The sequence below is a fragment of the Homo sapiens genome, chromosome 7 (assembly GCF_000001405.40).
Source record: "Homo sapiens chromosome 7, GRCh38.p14 Primary Assembly".
Classification (NCBI taxonomy): domain Eukaryota; kingdom Metazoa; phylum Chordata; class Mammalia; order Primates; family Hominidae; genus Homo; species Homo sapiens.
In genome coordinates this window covers 36,487,362-36,507,464 of record NC_000007.14, presented here as the reverse complement: position 1 = coordinate 36,507,464, position 20,103 = coordinate 36,487,362, and the positions used below count along the sequence as shown (strand labels likewise).

The 20,103-nt window shown below is 42.0% G+C and overlaps 1 annotated feature.

Annotated features, from left to right (window-relative positions):
- Nucleotides 907-2,106: an enhancer, noted in NCBI's record as "BRD4-independent group 4 enhancer chr7:36544967-36546166 (GRCh37/hg19 assembly coordinates)". NCBI's record gives its function as "activates an origin of replication core promoter dependent on BRD2, P300/CBP, MED14 and CDK7 cofactors, and independent of BRD4, by STARR-seq in HCT116 cells {active_cell/tissue: HCT116}" and the evidence as "EXISTENCE:reporter gene assay evidence [ECO:0000049][PMID:35650434]".

Here is a 20,103-nt window from a genome sequence, read left to right as displayed (position 1 = left end):
AGTTGGAGCCAGGAGGTTGAGTGAGGCTGTAGGGGAGCAAAGGACTCTTCAGGGACAGGTAGAGACTCCAGGCTCGTGTAAGTCTCATGGAAAGAATGCAATTCTGCTCAGCTGCCTCCTGGAGCTGGGGACACATGGAAACACAATCAGTGGGAATTCATGAAGCAACAGGCCTTGGAAGCCTTAAGCTCCTGGTGCCTCAGTTACCTTCTCCTTAAAAAGGGAGCAATAGTACCATTTTCCAGCACTGTTGTGAGCATTAACAAGAGCTAATGCTTACAGAGGGGTAAGTGACAAGTAGAGTGCATATATGATCTCACTTAACCCTTACAGCAACCACATGTGGCAGGTCTGCTATGATTCCCTACTTTTACAGATAGGAGGCCGAGAACAATTAAGTAACTTGCCTGAGACTGCACAGCTAATACGTGATGAGTCAGGTGCCATGCATGGTGACTCATGCCTGCAATCCCAGCAATTTGGGAGGGCAAGGCAGGAGGATCGCTTGAGCCCAAGAGTTTGAGACCAGCCTGGAAAACATGGTGAGGGCCCTGCACAAAAATAAAAAGTCAGGCAGGCATGGTTGTGCACACCTATATTCTCAGCTACCCAGGAGGCTGAGGCTGAGGCTGAGGCAGGAGGATCGCTTGAGCCCATTTCAATGATTGCACCACTGCAATCCAGCCTGGGCAACAGGGTGAGACCCTGTCTCAATAACAATAATGTGATGAGTTATGATGTTGAAGGCAAGCCATTTGGCTCCAGGGTCCTTGCCCCTAGCTGCTAGGCTATCCTGCATTTATTAAGAAGATGACGTATGTAAAACATGCTGAGTGGTGAATCAACAGTGGCTCTTAGCATCATTATAACCAGGATGTGATCTGACCACCACATGTGCTAGAGTCAGCTTTGTCTGTAGCGTAAACTCCAAACTCGTCACCTGCAGAGTCCATGTCTCTCCAGGCTCTCTCTCCCGCCCATTTCTTCTTTGATCCTGCATCCCAGTCACAGGAAGCTTGTCATTACAAAACATGGGCAGTAGGTAAGTCTCCAAAGCTGGCTGCCAAAAATGGCCACCCTCCTGCGTGTGCCTGCTTCTCCTCCAACAAGAGGCGGCATCTTTCCCACCCCTTGAAGCTGGGCTGGCCCAGAGAAGGAAATGCAAGTGAGACTGCCACACCCAGGCCTTGCCCTTAGGAGGTGAAGCTGCCCTCTGCACCCTTTTAGATCTCACAGCCACCATGTTGAAACGGCTACATTGTCTGGGGTATATACCTGGCATTCATTGTTTCTCCCTGAGAAAGAATTCAGGACATGAACACATGTGGGTGGGTTAAGGAGTGGAAAGTTTAATAGAAGAAAGGAGACAGGAAAGCAGCTCCCTGTGAGAAAGAGAGAGAGAGAGAGAAAGGCATCTGAAAAGCAGGGAGGCAGCAGACTGCAGCAGATTTTATAAGCAGGCTGGGGAAGGCTGTGTCTGATTTACTTAGGGCTCACAGATTGGTTCTATCAGGTATGATGCTTACATAGTGTGGAAGGCTGGTCACCCCACCCTAATCGTATTATTCAGATGGACTTTTTAGTTGATCAGCGCCATCTTGTCTGCTCTTTACTGTACACATGGCTGACGAAGAAGGGAAGATGGAGCTGCCATCTTGAACATGTCTAGTCCCCAGTTCCTGCCAGCATTCACCCATGCAAGCTCCCAGCTTGCTTGTCTATGTCTGCAGCTAGACTTTACAGGCTGCTCTGTTATAAAATGAGTTGGCGCTGCTTTTCATTAGAGAGAAAAGACTTACCGAGGACTCCCATACCCTTACTATCTGCCTAAGTGATTTTTTTCTTAATTCCTTTATCAATGTGGGGAAGTCCAGGCTGCACTCCTGCAAGAGAAACCCTGGGGGATGACACACCACGTGAAGGAGAAAGGCTGCATGGAAAAAAACTGAGGTACCTCTGCCCACATTGAGGCCTCAAAAGTATGAATGAGCATTTGGACTTCCAGTCCAGCTCGAGCCCAGCCAACCCACAGAACCATGGGATATAATGCACTCTTCCTGTTTCAAGCCTCTAAGTTTCCGAGGGGGGTTTTATGCAGCAACAGTGAACTGAATAAAAGGCCCTCCCTCTCACAGCTCCATGCTTTTCCATAGGCTGTTTCCTCCAGGAAACTGGAACACTCCTTCTTCAAGATCCAGCTCCCGCATGGTTGTCATAGAGGGAAACATACCGACACACTCCTAGTCTACTGGAGGACATAAGTGTCTTTAGGGTTAGGTTCTACTGCTTATGGGTACAATCCAGAGTAATGATGGGTTTTTCTTTAAAAAAAAGAAAGGCTATTTTTCTCACATAAAGGACACCCAGTGGTGGGTGGTGCAGGGCTCAGACAGGACTCCATGTTGCCACGGACTCCTTCTGAGAGGTGAAGCCAGCTGGGCTTCTGAGTCAGGTGGGGCCTTGGAGAACTTTTCTGTCTAGCTAAAGGTTTGTAAACGCACCAATAAGCACTCTGTAAAAACGCACCAATCAATGCTCTGTGTCTAGCTAAAGGTTTGTAAATGCACCAATCAGCACTCTGTAAAAGCGCACCAATCAGCACTCTGTAAAAGCACACCAATCAGCACTCTGTGTCTAGCTAAAGCATTGTAAATACACCAATCAGCACTCTAAAAATGCACCAATCAGCACTCTGTGTCTAGCTAAAGGATTGTAAACGCACCAATAATCACTCTGTAAAATGGACCAATCAGCACTCTGTAAAATGGACCAATCAGCAGGATGTGGGCAGGGCCAAATAAGGTAATAAAAGCTGGCCACCGAGCCAGCAGCAGCAACCTACTTGGGTCCCCTTCCACGCTGTGGAAGTTTTGTTCTTTCGCTCTTCACATTAAATCTTGCTGCTGCTCACTCTTTGGGTCCGCACTACCTTTATGAGCTGTAACACTCACCGCGGAGGTCTGTGGCTTCACTCCTGAAGTCAGCGAGACCACGAACCCACCAGGAGGAACAAATAACTCTGGACACGCCACTTTTAAGAGCTGTAATGTTCACTGCGAAGGTCTGCGGCTTTACTCCTGAAGTCAGCGAGATGACGAACCCATCAGAAGGAAGAAACTCTGGACACGTCTGAACATCTGAAGGAACAAAGTCCGGATATACCATCTTTAAGAACTGTAACACCTCGAGGGTCCGCGGCTTCATTCTTGAATTCAGTGAGACCAAGAACCCACCAGAAGGAACCAATTCCAGACATATTTTGGTGACCCAGATGGGACTATCACCAAGCAGTGTGTACCATCAGACCCCTTTCACTTGCTATTCTGTCTTATTTTTCCTTAGAATTTGGGGGCTAAATACCAGGCACCTGTTGGCCAGTTAAAAGTGACTAGCACGACTGCCGACTAAAGACACAGGTGTCAGGCTTTCTGGGAAAGGGCTAACAACCCCCAACCCTTCAGATTTGGGAGCTTTGGTTTGCCTGGAACCAGCTTCTGCTTTTCCTGTACTTCTGGGCTGAGCTGAGGGTCGACAGAGAGGAAAGCCATTCAGCTCCAGGGTCCTGACAACAAGTTGGTTGACCCTGCAACCATGAGTGGAACTCTCAAAGTCATGTCGCCCAAGCAAAACTCACCCATCTATCCTATCTATCCTGACCCTTGCCTCCTGAGTCCTAATGCCTGTCAGACAAACTTCCTCTCGCCTCTCTTCTCCGAGGTTAGTCCCACTTCTAAAAACCACTCCCTGTCTCTGGTGCTTTTCTAGTTTCTTCTATAAGAATGATTTCTAGTATAAACTTCAGGATTCTATTACCGTCTTTAGGCACCCAGACTCACCAATCAGAAAGATAGAATTTTTGCCCAAAGCCCCATCAGGGCGTGGAATTGTCTGGAATTTTAGAATCCTTCCTCAGACTAGCAGGCCTAAAAAAAGTGATTCCTGAAGCTAGGATATGGGGAGCTTCAGAAATGGTATCCTTCCTACTCATATAAGTGAGGACAAAAGGCATCACTCTTCCAACTCTGGAGATCCCTTCCCTTCCTCAGGGTATGGCCCTCCACTTCATTTTTGGGGTGTAACATCTTTATAAGATGGGGTAAGGTCCCAGTACTAACAGGAGAATGCTTAGGACTCTAACAGGTTTTCAAGAATGCATCAGTAAGGGCCACTAAATCCAACCTTCCTCGGTCCTCCTTGTGGTCTAGGAGGAAAACTAGTGTTTCTGTTGCTGCATCGGTAAGCACAACTATTCCCATCAGCAGGGTCCAGGGACCACTGCGGGTTCTTGGGCAAGGGGTGTTTCTGCTGCTGCGTCAGTGAGCACAACTATTCCGATCAGCAGGGTCCAGGGACTGTTGTGGGTTCTTGGGCAGGGGGAGAAACAAACCAAAATGGCAGGTGGTTTTGTCTTTCAGATGGGAAACACTCAGGCATCAACAGGCTCACCCTTGAAATGCATCCTAAGCCACTGGGACCAATTTGACCCACAAACCCTGAAAAAGAGGTGGCTCATTTTTTTTCTGCACTATGGCTTGGCCCCAATATTCTCTCTCTGATGGGGAAAAATGGCTACCTGAGGGAAGTATAAATTACAGTACTATCCTGCAGCTTGACCTTTTCTGTAAGAGAGAAGGTAAATGGAATGAAATACCTTATGTCCAAGCTTTCTTTTCATTGAAGGAGAATACACAACTATACAAAGCTTGCAATTTACATCCCACAGGACCTCTCAGCTTACCCCCATATCCTAGCTTCCCTATATCTCTCCTTCCTATTAATGATAAGCCTACTCTAATCTCCCCCACCCAGAAGGAAACAAGCAAAGAAATCTCCAAAGGGCCACAAAAACTCCCATGCTATCAGTTATGTCCCCTTCAAGCTATAGGGGGAGGGGAATTTGGCCCAACCCAGGTACATGTCCCCTTCTCCCTCTCTGATTTAAAGCAGATCAAGGCAGACCTGGGGAAGTTTTCAGATGATCCTGATAGGTACATAGATGTCCTACAGGGTCTAGGGCAAACTTTCTATCTCACTTGGAGAGATGTCATGCTATTGTTAGATCAAACCCTGGCCTTTAATGAAAAGAATGCGGCTTTAGCTGCAGCCGAGAGTTTGGAGATACCTAGTATCTTAGTCAAGTAAATGATAGAATGACAGCCAGAGAAAAGGACAAACTCCCTACCAGTCAGCAAGCCATCCCCAGTATGGATCCCCACTGGGACCTCGACTCAGATCATGGGGACTGGAGTTGTAAACATCTGTTGACCTGCGTTCTAGAAGGACTAAGGAGAATTAGGAAAAAGCCCATGAATTATTCAATGATGTCTACCATAACTCAGGGAAAGGAAGAAAATCCTTCTGCCTTCCTCGAGAGGCTATGAGAGGTCTTAAGAAAATATACTCCCCTATCACCTGACTCACTCAAGGCTCAGTTGATTCTAAAAGATAAGTTTATTACCCAATTAGCCACAGATATCAGGAGAAAGCTCCAAAAGCGAGCCCTGGGCCCTGAACAAAATCTGGAGGCATTATTAAACCTGGAAACCTCGGTGTTCTATAATAGGGTCCAAGAGGAACATGCCCAAAAAGAAAAGTGAGATCAGAGAAAGGCTGCAGCCGTAGTCATGGCCCTCAGAAAAACAAACCTTGGTGGTTCACAGAGGACAGAAAATGGAGCAGGCCAATCACCCTGTAGGGCTTGTTATCAGTGTGGTTTACAAGGACACTTTAAAAAAGATTGTCCAACAAGAAACAAGCTGCCCCCTCGTCCATGTCCACTATGCCGAGGCAATCACTGGAAGGCACACTGCCCCAGAGTGCAATGGTTCTCTGGGCCAGAAGCCCCCAACCAGATGATCCAACAATAGGACTGAGGGTGCCCGGGGCAAGTACCAGCTCATATCATCACCCTCACTGAGCCCCGGGTACATTTAACCATTGAGGGCCAGAAAATTAACTTCCTCCTGGACACTGGAGTGGCTTTCTTAGTGTTAATCCCCTGTCCTGGACAGCTGTCCTCAAGGTCCGTTACCATCTGAGGAGTCCTGGGATGGCCTGTAACCAGGTATTTCTCCCACCTCCTCAGTTGTAATTGGGAGACTTTGCTACAGATCATAAGTATGCTTATCTAATCCTACATGCCCATGCTGCAATATGGAAAAAAGGGGAGTTCCTAACTTCTGGGGGAACCCCCATTAAATATCACAAGGAAACGATGGAGTTATTGCATGCAGTGCAAAACTCAAAGAGGTGGCAGTCTTACACTGCCAAAGCCATCAAAAGGGGATGGAGAGGGAAGAACAGCAGCATAAGTGGCTGGCAGAGGCAGGGAAAGACCAGCAGAAAGGAAAGAGAGAAAGAGACAGAAAGTCAGAAAGAGAGAGAGAGGAAGAGACAGAGACAAAGAGGAAGTCAGAAAGAGAGAAAGAGAGAGAGAGACAGAAAGTCAAAGAAAGAGAGGAAGATACAAAGAGGGAGTCAGAGAGAAAGAGAGAAAGAGACAGACAAGAAGTCAAAGAGAAAGAAAGAGAGATGGAAGTAGTAAGGAAAAAACAGTGTACCCTATTCCTTTAAAAGCCAGGGTAAATTTAAAACCTTTAATTGATCATTGAAGGTCTTCTTCATGACACTATAACACTCCAATACCACCTTGTTGTCAGTGTAAACAAGGGTGTAGCCCAAAAGCACTGAGGCCACTGACAACCCATAGCCTTCCTATCAAAAATCCTTAACCCAGCAGCTTTCCTAACAGGGGATCTAAATCTTAACTAATAACCATACAAAGGTCTGACCAGACCTAGGAGGAACTCCCTTCAGGACAGGACAATAGATGGTTCCTCCCAAGTGATTGAGGAAAAAAGACACAATGGGTATTCAGTAAATGATAAAGAAACTTATAAAAGCAGAGTTAGGAAAATTGCCTAATAATTGGTCTGCTCAAATGTGTGAGTTGTTTGCACTCAGCCAAACCTTAAAGTACTTACAGAATCAGGAAGGAGCCATCTATACCAATTCTAAGTTAATATGGACTGAAAGAGGTTTTATTAATAGCAAAGAAAAATTAAAATCCCAAACTTACAAGGTTTTCAACTAAAGTAAAGTTTGCTAAAAGTTAACAGTGTAACATGTATTATCCTACTAACAAACACTCTTAAAGGATTTCTCAGACAGTTTGCAAGAAATAACGAAGTCTATCCTTACTCCACAATCCCAAATAGACTCTTTGGCAGCAGTGACTCTCCAAAACCGCCAAGGCCTAGACCTCCTCACTGCTGAGAAAGGAGGACTCTGCACCTTCTTAGGGGAAGAGTGTTGTTTTTACACTAACCAGTCAGGGATAGTATGAGATGCCAACCGGCATTTACAGGAAAAGGCTTCTGAAATCAGACAATGCCTTTCAAACTCTTATACCAACCTCTGGAGTTGGGCAACATGGCTTCTCCCCTTTCTAGGTCCTGTGACAGCCATCCTGCTATTACTTGCCTTTGGGCACTGTATTTTTAACCTCCTTGTCAAATTTATTTCCTCTAGGATTGAGGCCATCAAGCTACAGATGGTCTTACAAATGGAACCCCAAATGAGCTCAACTAATAACTTCTACCAAGCACCCCTGGACCAACCCACTGGCCCTTTCACTGGCCTAAAGAGTTCCCCTCTGGAGGGTACTACAGCTGCAGGGCCCCTTCTTTGCCCCTATCCAGCAGGAAGTAGCTAGAACGGTCATTGCCCAATTCCCAACAGCAGTTGGGGTGTCCTGCTTAGAGGGGGGATTGAGAGGTGAAGCCAGCAGGGCTTCTGGGTCAGGGGACTTGGAGAACTTTTCTGTCTAGCTAAAGGTTTGTAAACACACCAATCAGCACTCTGTAAAAACGCACCAATCAGCATTCTGTGTCTAGCTAAAGCACTGTAAATGCATCAATAATCACTCTGTAAAATAGATCAATCAGCAGGATGTGGGCGGGGCCAAATAAGGGAATAAAAGCTGGCCACCCGAGCCAGCAGCAGCAACCCACTTGGGTCCCCTTCCATGCTATGGAAGCTTTGTTCTTTTGCTCTTCACAATAAATCTTGCTGCTGCTCACTCTTTGGGTCCACACTACCTTTATGAGCTGTAACACTCACCGCAGAGGTCTGCGGCTTCACTCCTGAAGTCAACGAGACCAAGAACCCACCAGAAGGAACCAATTCCGAACACACTTCTCTCTGCTGCCGCCACCTTCAGCATATAACTTCTATTTTGTGATTCAAGACAGCCTCCCAAGCAACACCACCAGGACTGCATTTGAGCCAGCAGGAAGAGGGAAGGGGAGAGGAAAGGCCACTCTTTCTTCCTTGAGGATGCAACTTCCGCTTGCACCCCAGGAGGCCCAGCTCAGTCCCGTGGCCATGCAGCTTTAAAGAAAGCTAAAAATGTTTGTCTAGCCAAGCGGGTAACTGAAAATAGGCAGTTCTATTACCAGGAGAGAAGGGAGGATAGATACAGAAGGACAAGTAGCAATCTCTACAAGTGTAAATTAGAACCTTCTGGACGCCAATTTGACAATATGTGGAACCCACATGTCAGCTACCTCTATCCCTTGCTACTCAAAATGTGGTCATCAGACCAGCATCACCTGGAAGTTTGTTAAAAATGCAAAATATCGGGCCTGCCTACTACTAAATCATAATTTGCATTTAAACAGTATCCTTCAGTGATTTGTTTGCACGTTAAAGTTGGAGAAGCACTGATCTAGACAGTGGTTTTCAATTGTGGCTGTACATTGGAATAACCCGGGAACTTTCAAAACTCTCCTGATGCCTGGGCCACACCCAAAGAGCATTGAATTTAATTGGCCTGGTGAAATCCTAGGCTTCTGTGGTTCCAAAGTGCTCCCCTGGGTGATTCTCTTGTGCAGCTAAGGTGGCAAACCACTGCTCTGGGCTATTTGGGGGAAAGGAATTGTCTCACAATTACTCCTGAGTCAGACCCAAACTGCACTTTCTTATCTTCCTTGCTAGAAATCCACTTTAGCTTTCTTCTGCTTTATTTCTTTCTGGAGTGAAGTGGCACAATCACAGCACACTGCTGCCTCGAACCCCATCCCCCATCCCCTGGCTCAAGGAATCCTCCTGCCTCAGCCTCCCGAGTAACGGGGACTACAGTCATACACTACCACCTCCAGCTAACTTTTCTTTATAGCTTTGTAGAGACCGGTTCTCTTTATGTTGCCCAGGCTGGTGTCTGACTCCTGGGTTCAATTGATCTTCCAGCCTCGGCCTCCCAAAATGCTGGGAATACAGGGTGAGCCACCACATTTGTCCTCTTCTGCTTTCTTGACCATACCTCATCCCATTTTCTTCTTGTTTGCTGTGCCAGTGCATATTTAATGATGGTTTGGGAATAATGCAGAAAGTTATCCTGTAGCACAGAGTAGCACATGACCTAAAACTGGAAGTCAGTCACACGTCCCTGCCTTTTAGTGCCCCACCCCGGGATTTTCCACGGGGCCCCTCCTCTGCAGCTGGCCCCACGACACTGCTCATTGCTCCTCCTCTCCCTCCACTCCTCCCTTGAAGCCCTAAGGGAGGTACTCCTTGAAACTTACACATTCTTTATCATTGTGCAGAGTAAATTGTGTCTTTTCTCATTATGTTGTTCCTCTGAGGGCTCTCTTTTCACATTAAATGATTCATTAGTAGGGGCAAGGAGGGGTTGCCAAAAACTCTGCTCTGGAGGGAAAGTATGCCACTCCCTTGGGAGACAGAGCAATTATGGCAAACGGTGTTTTAAATAATAATAATAAAATAATTCCTCTTTATCATTATGCATTTCCAAACTCTTTTAGAATTCATGCCTGACTCAGGACCCAGAAACCATTTTTTGTTTGTTGTTTGTTTGTTTGTTTCAAGATGGGTTCCCACTCTTTCGCCCAGGCTGGAGTGCAGTGGTGAGATCTTGGCTCGCTCCAACTTCCGCTTCCCAGGCTCAAGTGATTCTCCAGCCTCAGCCTCCTGAGTAGCTGGGACTACAGGTGCAAACCACCAACGCCCACCTAATTTTTGTATTTTTTGTAGAGATGGGGTTTCACCATGTTGCCCAGGCTTGTCTCAAATTCCTAAGCTAAAAGTGATCCACCCGCCTCAGCCTCCCAAAGTGCTGGGATTATAAGCATGAGTCACTGCACCCAGCCCAGAAACCATGTAAATGTTGATAAATTGACTTCTTAAAAGTAAAAGTTTTTGTACGTTGAAAACATACTGTAAGCAGAGTCAAAAGACAAGTGGCAAAATGGGGGGACACACACCCCATTTCACAGACGAAGAGCTAATCTCCCCAGGACATGAAGAGTTCTTAAAAAGCAAGAAGGAAAAAGCTAACAATTCAGTTTTTAAATTGGCAGAAGATATGAATGGCTAAAGTTAAGAGAAAATAGAATCAAAGGCACCTTACACATAAAAAATATAAAAATCTGTTTAACTTCACTTATAATTAGATAAATGTAATTTGAAATTACACTGAGAGGTTTCTGTTTTCTGATCCAGCATGTAGTGAGTTTGAAAGTTGTCACTCCATCCTAACAAGAAAAAGCCTGGACAGGCTGAAAAATCAACAACCCTTCTTAGATCTGCCAGAGATTTGAAGTCACGGGGCAAACCATTTCCCAAGCACTGGAGAGAGAGGAAGGTACAGAGAATTCCAACTCACTGAAGTGGAATCCCAGAAGCAGAAACATCCAGTGTAAGTGGGGGGTGGGGGTGTTTCGTTTTGTTTTGTTTTTGTAGAGACGGGGCCGCACTCTGTTGCCCAGGCTGGTCTTGAACTCCTAGCCTCAAGCGATCCTCCCTCCTCAGCTGGGATGTCAGGCGTGCTGGGATGACAGGTGTGAGCCACCATGCCTGGCCCAATGGAAGTAGTACTAGATATGTCATGACTGGCTTTCAACAGAAAAGTGCAAGGCACACTAACAGGCAAAAACAGTTTGAAAAGACAGAGCAAGCATCAGAGCACATTCAGATATGACAGGGGTGTTGGAGCTATTACACTAGGAATTTAAAATAATTATGAAGAGTATGCTAAGGGCTCTAATGGACAACATGTAAGAACAGATGGGTAAGTGGATATCCATATGCAGAAGACCTCAATCTATGAAACTACTAAAAGAAAACAATGAGGAAACTCTCCAGGACATTGATCTGGGCAAAGATTTCTTGAGTATACCCCACAAGCACAGGCGACCAAAGCAAAAACAGACAAATGGGATCACATCAAGTTAAAAAGTTTCTGCATAGCAAAGGAAACAACAGACTAGGCATGGTGCCTCGCAACTGTAATCCCAGCACTTTAGGAGGCTGAAATGGGCAGATCACCTGAGGTCAGGAGTTCAAGACCAGCCTGGCCAATATGGTGAAACCCTGTCTCTATTAAAAATACAAAAATTAGCCAGGTGTGGTGGTGTGCACCTGTAATTCCAGCTATTCAGGTGGCTGAGGCCCGAGAATCGCTTGAATCCGGGAGGCGGAGGTGGCAGTAAGCCAAGATTATGCCACTACCCTCCAGCCTGGGTAATGGAGTAAGATTCTGTCTCAAAAAAAAAAAAAAAAAAAAAAGAAGAAGAAGAAGAAGAAACAATCAACAAAGAAAAGAGACAACCCACAGTATGGGAGAAAATATTTGCAAATTATCCATCTGACAAGAGATTAATAACCAGAATATATAAGGAGCTCAAACAATTCTACAGGAAAATATTCTAATACTCCAACTTAAATATGGGCAAAGGATCTGAACAGACATTTCTCCAAAGAAGACATACAGATGGCAAACAGGCATCTGAAAAGGTGCTTAACATCACAGATCATCAAAGAAATGCAAATCAAAACTACAAAGAGGTATCATCTCACCTCAGTTAAAATGGCTTATATCCAAAAGCAATAACAAATGTTGGCGAGGATGTGGAAAAAAGGGAATCCTTGTACACTGTTTGGGGGAATGTAAATTAGTACAACCACTATGGAGAACAGTTTGGAGGTTCCTCATAAAGCTAAAAATAGGGCTATCATATAATCCAGCAATTCACTGCTAAGTATATACCCCAAAAAAGGAAATCAATATATCAAAGCAATATCTGCACTCCCATGTTTTGCAGCACTATTCATAACAGCCAAGATTTGGAAGCAACATAAGTGTCTATCAACAGATGAATGGATAAAGAAAATGTGGTTACATATACACAATGGAGCACTATTCAGCCATAAAAAGGAACAAGATGCTGCCACTTGCCACAACATGGATGGAACTGGAGGTCTTTATGTTAAGTGAAATAAGCCAGGCACAGAAAGACAAATGTCACATGTTCTCATTCATTTGTAGAAGCTAAAAATTAAAACAATTGAACTCATGAAGACAGAGAGTAGAATGATGGTTACCAGAGCCTAGGCACAGTGGAGGGGAAGAAAGTGGGGATGACTAATGCGTACAAAAAAAAAGTTAGATAGAAGAAATAAGATCTAGTATTTGGGGCTAGGCGTGGTGGCTCACACCTATAATTCCAGCAGTTTGAGAGGCCAAGGTGGGTGGATACCTTGAGGTTGGAAGTTCGAGACCAGCCTGGACAACATGGCAAAACCCCATCTCTACTAAAAATACAAAAATTACCTGAGCATGTTGATGCATGCCTGTAATCCCAGCTACTCAGGAGGCTGAGGCAGGAGAATCACTTGAACCCGTGAGGCAGAAGTTGCAGTGAGCCAAGATCACACCACTGCACTCCAGCCTGGGCGACAGAGCAAGACTCTATTTCAAAAAAAAAAAAAATCTAGTATTTGGTAGCACAACAGAGTGTCTACAGTCAATAATAATTTATTATATATTTTTAAATAACTAGAAGAGTATAATTGGAATGTTTATAATGCAAAGAAATAATAAATGCTTGAGACGATGGATACCCATTTACCTTGATGTGATTATTATGCCTTGTATGCCTGTATCGAAATTTCTCATATGCCCCATAAATATATATACCTACCATGTACCCACTAAAAACTAAAAATTTAAAAAAAAACAGATGGGCAATGTAATTAAGGAGATAGAAATTCTAAGAAAGAATCAGAAAGACAAGCTAGAATTAAAAAACATGTAATAGAAAGCATATATATAAAAATATATATACCTACTATATACCCATTAAAAATTAAAAATTAAATAAAAAAACATGGGCAATGTAATCAAGGAGATACAAATTCTAAGAAAGAATCAAAAAGACATGCTAGAAATAAAAAACATGTAACAGGAAGAATGCCTTTGATGGACTCATTAGTAGACTAGACACAGCTGAGGAAAGAACGTCTGAGCTTGAGGATATGTCAACAGAAGCTTCCCAAACTGAAAAGAGAAAGTGGGGGGTGGAAACTGGAACAGAATATCCAAGAACTGTACATAAGTTACAGTGGGAATACAAAGAGAAGAAAAAGAGTAAGGAACAGAAGAAATATTTGATGCAAAAATGACAAATATTCCCAAATTAATGTCAGACACCAAACCACAGATCCAAGAAGTTCAGAGAACACCAAGGAGGGATAAACGTGTCAAAAAATCTACACTTAGGCATATCATACTCAAACTGAAGAAAACGAAACATAAAGAAAATATTTGGGCTTTGGGTGATAATGATGTGTCAATGTAGGTTCATTGATTGTAGCAAATAATGTACCACTCCTCTGGGGAAGAAAGTTGATAGTGGAGGAGTCCACTGGGGGAAAAAAAAAAGGCTGCAATGGTGCACTGCATTAGAGGCAGAAAAAAAAAAGCCCAGCCATGTGAATTCAGGCTATGTGCAGCTGTCATCCAATTCTTGTTAACCTTCAGGCTAGAATTTTATTTGAAGGACTAAATTTTATCCATGGCTGCCTATACAATCTGCAATGTCTATGCTTCTAAAAAAGAAGTTCTCTAATAAAAATAAAATTATATTCTGCTAAAAGCTGTAATTTTTACATACTGCAGCCCAGACAATTGGAAAGTGTATTTTCTTAAAAATTTCACTTAAAATGATATCATAAGGCACTAAATACTTTGGAGTAAACTGACAAAAGACATGTAAAACCTCTATATTGAAAACTGGCTAGGTGCTCTGGCTTACGCCTGTAATCCCAGCACTTTGGGTGGCCAAGGCAAGTGGATCACCTGAGTTCAGGAGTTTGAGACCAGCCTGGCCAACATAGTGAAACCCCATCTCTACTAAAAATACAAAAATTAGCTGGGCATGGTGGCGGGCACTTGTAATCCCAGCTACTCGGGAGGCTGAGGCAAGAGAATTGCTTGAACCAGGGAGGCAGAGGTTGCAGTGAGCTAAGGTTGCGCCACTCCACTCCAGCCTGAATGACAGAGGGAGACTCTGTCTCAAAAAAAAAAAAAAAAAAAAAAAAAAGACAAAGAAAACATATGTTGCTGAAAGAAAGTTTAAGAGACCTAAATAAATGGATGTATCTACATTAATACCGTATTCCTAAATTTAAATGCTCAATGTTGTCAGTTCTACTAAAATTGATCTATAGATTAAATATAATCCTAAATATAATCCCAGAGGCTTTTTTTAAATTGAAGCTGATTCTAAAATATACAGAGAAATACAAAGAACCTAAGTTAGCCAAAGCAATTTTGGGGGAAAGAAAGAAAGAAAATGTAGAGATGTTTCAGTACCTGACTTAAAATGTGTAATATAATTATAATAGTCAAGACAGTGTTACTGACATCGAGACACACAACTAACTCAATGGAAGCAGAATAGGGTGCCCAGAAACACCTCATTTATATGGTTCTTTGATTCTTTTACAAAGGTGCCAAAGAAAGCAAGGGAAAAGAAAAGTGTTTTCAATAAATGCTATTGGAACAACCAGATGTTTTTAATGAATATTTACCTCTATATCATATCTATGTAAAAATTAATCTAAGATAGATAATAGAATCAAATGTAAAAGCCAAAACTAAAAAGCTGCTAGAAGAAAACATATTCCCAGTTTAGGGGTAGGCAGGAGTTTCCTAGACAAGACACAAAAACAATAACCAAAAATGAAAAAGAACTTGATAAATTCATTTTTAGAAAGAATTAATATTACTCTGTCAAATTAGACAAAATTTCAAACTTTCGCTCCTTCAAAGACACCACAGACTGGGAGAAAATATTCACAAAACATAGGTCTGACAATGACTCCAGAATATTTAAAGAACTCCTACAACTCAATAATAAAGAGGCAACCTATGTTTTTAATGAGTAAAGTTTTGAACATACACATTACAAAGGTAGATACAGGAGTGGCCAAAAAACACATAAAACAGTGTTTAACATTCTTGATCATCAGGTAAATGCAATGTAAAATCACAGAGATCCCCTACGTACCCACCAGTATGGCCAAAAATGAAAAGATTGAGAGCAGCAAGTGTTGGCAAGGATGTAGAACAACTGAAGCTCTCATATAGAAGCACTTTTGAAAAGCTTCTTATAAAACTAATTATGCACTACCCTATGACCCAGCAAGCTCTCCCCTAAATATCAACTATCGCATGTCTACAGAAAGACTTGTAAAACAATGCCCATAGCAGCTTCATTCATAAAAGCTAAAACCTAGAAACTGTCCAGTTGTCCATCAATATAAACACATGACATACCACTCAGCAATATAAAATCAACTACTGATATGCACAACATAAATGAGTCTCAAAATTATGCTGAATATATATATGTTGACTATATATATGCATATATATATGAAATTCTGGAAGAGGTAAAACTAATCTACGATGCAAAAAATCAGAAAAGTGTTTTGGGGATAGGAGAGCTGGAGATTGACTGGGAAACAATATGAAATAATTTTCTGGAATAATCTATTTTGATAAAGGTTTCAGTTACATAAATAGATGCACTTACCGAAACTCATGGAATGAAACACATATGGTTTGTGCATATCATTGCATATAAATATTATGGACAGATGGAAGGCTGGGTGTGTGAACGCATGAATATGTGTATCTACTATCTACCTTCATAAAAATTAGCCAAGGAGGACTTTTAAAAGCACCTTAAGAATGACATATTGGTATATGTAGTCCTATAGATGAATAATTTTTCTAACAAATCTTCAAAGTCTATAAAAGATTTAGTCCATTAAAATGTTACAAAGTTTATTGTTTCCTGCAATATTTTTACAGGTATATAAAAAGAGCTCTCGTCCATGCTTTTGCTAAGTTACTAATTTCATTACAAGAAAGAAACAACAGGGAAGAAAAAGATTGTATACCCCTAAACTGTAGACTATAAATAGGGTTATAATTTGGCACAGGGAAAGAAATAAGGGAAAGGAGAAAAAGGATAATTAGGATGCAAAAAAGGAACATGGTTTATGAATTACCTTGAAAGCACAATTTTAAAATATAACTATTGTATACCCCTAAACTTTAGACTATAAATGGGTTATAGTTTGGCACAGGGAAAGAAATAAGGGAAAGGAGAAAAAGGATAATTAGGATGCAAAAAAGGAACATGGTTTATGAATTGCCTTGAAAGCATAATTTTAAAATATAACTACTTTAATTCATTCCCATCCTGAGACAATGCACAGAATAAAGCCAACAGTTCCTCCCTGGCCTGCTGACAACTTGATTAAGCCAAGTGACTTCTGATGTCCCCATTCAAAGGAGCAGAAATCCAAGCTAGTGCACAATGCGCAAAAGGAAGTGAGAGACGTTAATGAGATGTTGGATCATTTTGCAGACAACATCAAGGTTGACTAGCTGTGTGGACCAAGTGCACTGCAGGAGTCTCCAACCACTGGAAAATCTGACATTTGCAGAGCTGACTGTTTTGTTCTCCAGCACTGCAACCCTGCTCCCTCCCCAAGCCAGTACGGTGCTCTGCAAAGGTGCCAGCAAGAGCCTTTCCCTCCATCCATCAGAGAGCAAATTGTTCACTATGCAACCATATTCTTTCTCATGGATGCCAAAGAAAATAAAAAATAATGCAGAATATTGGCAAAAAGCCAAACATAGGCAAGGAACTTGAAGTTTTAGCATTTTACTAATTTATAAAGTGGAAACCGATGCAACATTAAGCCTGTTTAGAGCCAGGCCAGTTTGAGTGTTGGCTCTGCCGTGGAACATTAGGAAAGCTACTTAACCACTCTGACCCTCAGGCTCCTCATATTCGTATATCCTTATATTTAACACAGGACTTCTATGAGGACTAGATGAAACAACACATAAAGCACCTAACACAAGTCCACATTATCTTATTCACATTCTCCAAATCCAAAAAGCTCTGACAACCAAAGATTTGTTTCATAGCTCACTTTGGAGGCACACCCTGACCTGCCATGACATGAGGACATTTAGGCTTTATTTATCCCACTTAATATGAACATTTATGTTTCCCTGCAGAAAAATTAATGGGTTGATTATAGGGAGTTGTCCTAGACCCTTCCAGAGCATTATGTAATATATAGCATATGCATAATATTAGCTCTACATATTCAAAACGTTCTGAATTCCAAAGTACATCTGGCCCAAAGAATTTCAGATAAGGAACTGTGAACCAGAGGACATCCTCATTTGATTATTAATTTATAAATCCCCTATGCCCAGTTCATTGAGTACCAAGACCTCCTATGTATGCTTTCAATTTATGATAAAAGAGCTTATGTGAGCGTTTATGGCTGTTTTGAGTAAATTCTATGATATCAGTGAGTTCAGGGTCATCTTCCAAAAGAGAAGCAGAGTTTCTGGGCAAAGCATTCCGCTACTTCTAGACAGCACTTGAGTCTCAAGGCACAAAGCTTAAGGAGGAAAAGTTATAACCTCTCTTGTTCAGGAAACACCATTGAACAAATGAATGGAGTCAAGTTAAAGGAAACAAGGAATGGCCATACCGTAGAAGCCTGCTGAACTCCATCAGGAGCCTGGAAAAGACACTGAGGAGCACTGAGTGATTTGCCTTCTCCCTCCCAGGGTAGGTGCAAACTGCCGACTCCAGGAAGCACTCTAGGAGCTATTCAGTTGGTGCAAAAGTAATTGTGATTTAACAATTAGTGCAGTTAGGAGTGCAGCTTCAGAGCAAGTTTTCATACTACATGGCTGGTCTGCAATGCAGCAGATGGCAAGCACATGGAAATTTGGAAAGATCTAACTTGTAGGAACTGGTTTTGGGCAAAGACTTCATGACTAAAACACCAAAAGCAATGGCAACAAAAGCCAAAATTGACAAATGGGATCTAATTAAACTAAAGAGTTTCTGCACAGCAAAAGAAACTATCATCAGAGTGAATAGGGAGAAAATGTTTGCAATCTATCCATGTGACAAAGGGCTAATATCCAGAATCTACAAGGAACTTAAACAAACTTAAACAAATTTACAAGAAAAAAACAAACAACCCCATCCAAAAGTGGGCAAAGGATATGAACAGACACTTCTCAAAAGAAGACATTTATGCGGCCAAAAAACATATGAAAGAAAAGCTCATCATCATTGGTCATTAGAGAAATGCAAATCAAAACCACAATGAGATACCATCTCATGCCAGTTAGAATGGTGATCATTAAAAAGTCGGGAAACAACAGGTGCTGGAGAGGATGTGGGGCAATAGGAGCGCTTTTACACTGTTGGTGGGAGTGTAAATTAGTTCAGCCATTGTAGAAGACAGTGTGGCGATTCCTCAAGGATCTAGAACCAGAAATACCATTTGACCCAGCAATCTCTGGTATATACCCAAAGGATTATAAATCATTCTACTATAAAGACACATGAACACGTATGTTTATTGCAGCACTATTCACAATAGCAAAGACTTGGAACCAATCCAAATGCCCATCAATGACAGACTGAATAAAGAAAATGTGGCACATATACACCATGGAATACTATGCAGCCATAAAAAAGGATGGGTTCATGTCCTTTGCAGAGACCTGGATAAAGCTGGAAACCATCAATCTCAGCAAACTAACACAGGAACAGAAAACCAAACACTGCACGTTCTCACTCATAAGTGAGAGTTGAACAATGAGAACATGCGGACACAGGGAGGGGAACATCACAAACTGGGGCCTGTCAGGGGGTGGGGGGCTAGTGGAAGGATAGCATTAGGAGAAATACCTAATGTAGATGAGGGGTTGATGGGTGCAGCACACCACCATGGCACGTGTATACCTATGTAACAAACCTGCTCATTCTGCACATGTATCCCAGAACTTAAAGTATAATTTAAAAAAAAAAAAGGAAGAAGAAGAAGCACTGGTTTTGGGGAATTGCATAAATTAAATATACAGTAAGATACAACTATAAAAAATAAATAGCTCTCCATTCATTTCAGGCTGCTTAATTCTTTAGCATACGTTTATCTGAAGGGTGTCATACACTTGTACTCATTTTTAACTACATCTAAAGCTGAATTAATAATAAAATCCTTAACTTTATCAAGAGCATAAGTAATCAATCTTTCAATGCTTTTCAAATGCCACATCGGAGGATATCAAAGCATTGTGGCAAAACTACTAGTGAAGTATTGGCACCATCTGATGGGTGAGATTGGAAACTGCAAGTGTACATGTACCACTTAAAGCTGAAGTTATAAACTTTGACAAGCCAGTGTTATTTCCTCAAGTGCTGATCTCCTTCCAAAATTTTCATCATAAATCCGGCAAATTCACACTAACAGACTGATAGTCACACTAGTAGACTGAGATATTAATCAAGTTGTTAAAAGAAAACATAAATGTAAATATTTTTTAAAGAACTCTTTTATAAGAATTAAAATAAAAGACATACACAAATATACATATCTTTTTTTCACAGGTGTGTTTAAATTTAGTTCTCTTTGAGACCTGGACAGTGCACATTGGTTGTTTACATAAGGAAGAGGTTGTATATTTAGGTTGGTGCAAACGTAATTGCAGTTTTTGCCATTACTTTTAATTGCAAAAACCACTATTAAAAGTAATGGCAAAAACTACAATTACATTTGCACCAACCTAATACAATTCATTCTACAGACTCCTGCTCAAAGAAAAGCCCTATTCTTATGATACATGTGATAAATAAAAAGGAATATTTGAGCTGTATGGGCAATCTCTTTTTATGTTTTCCC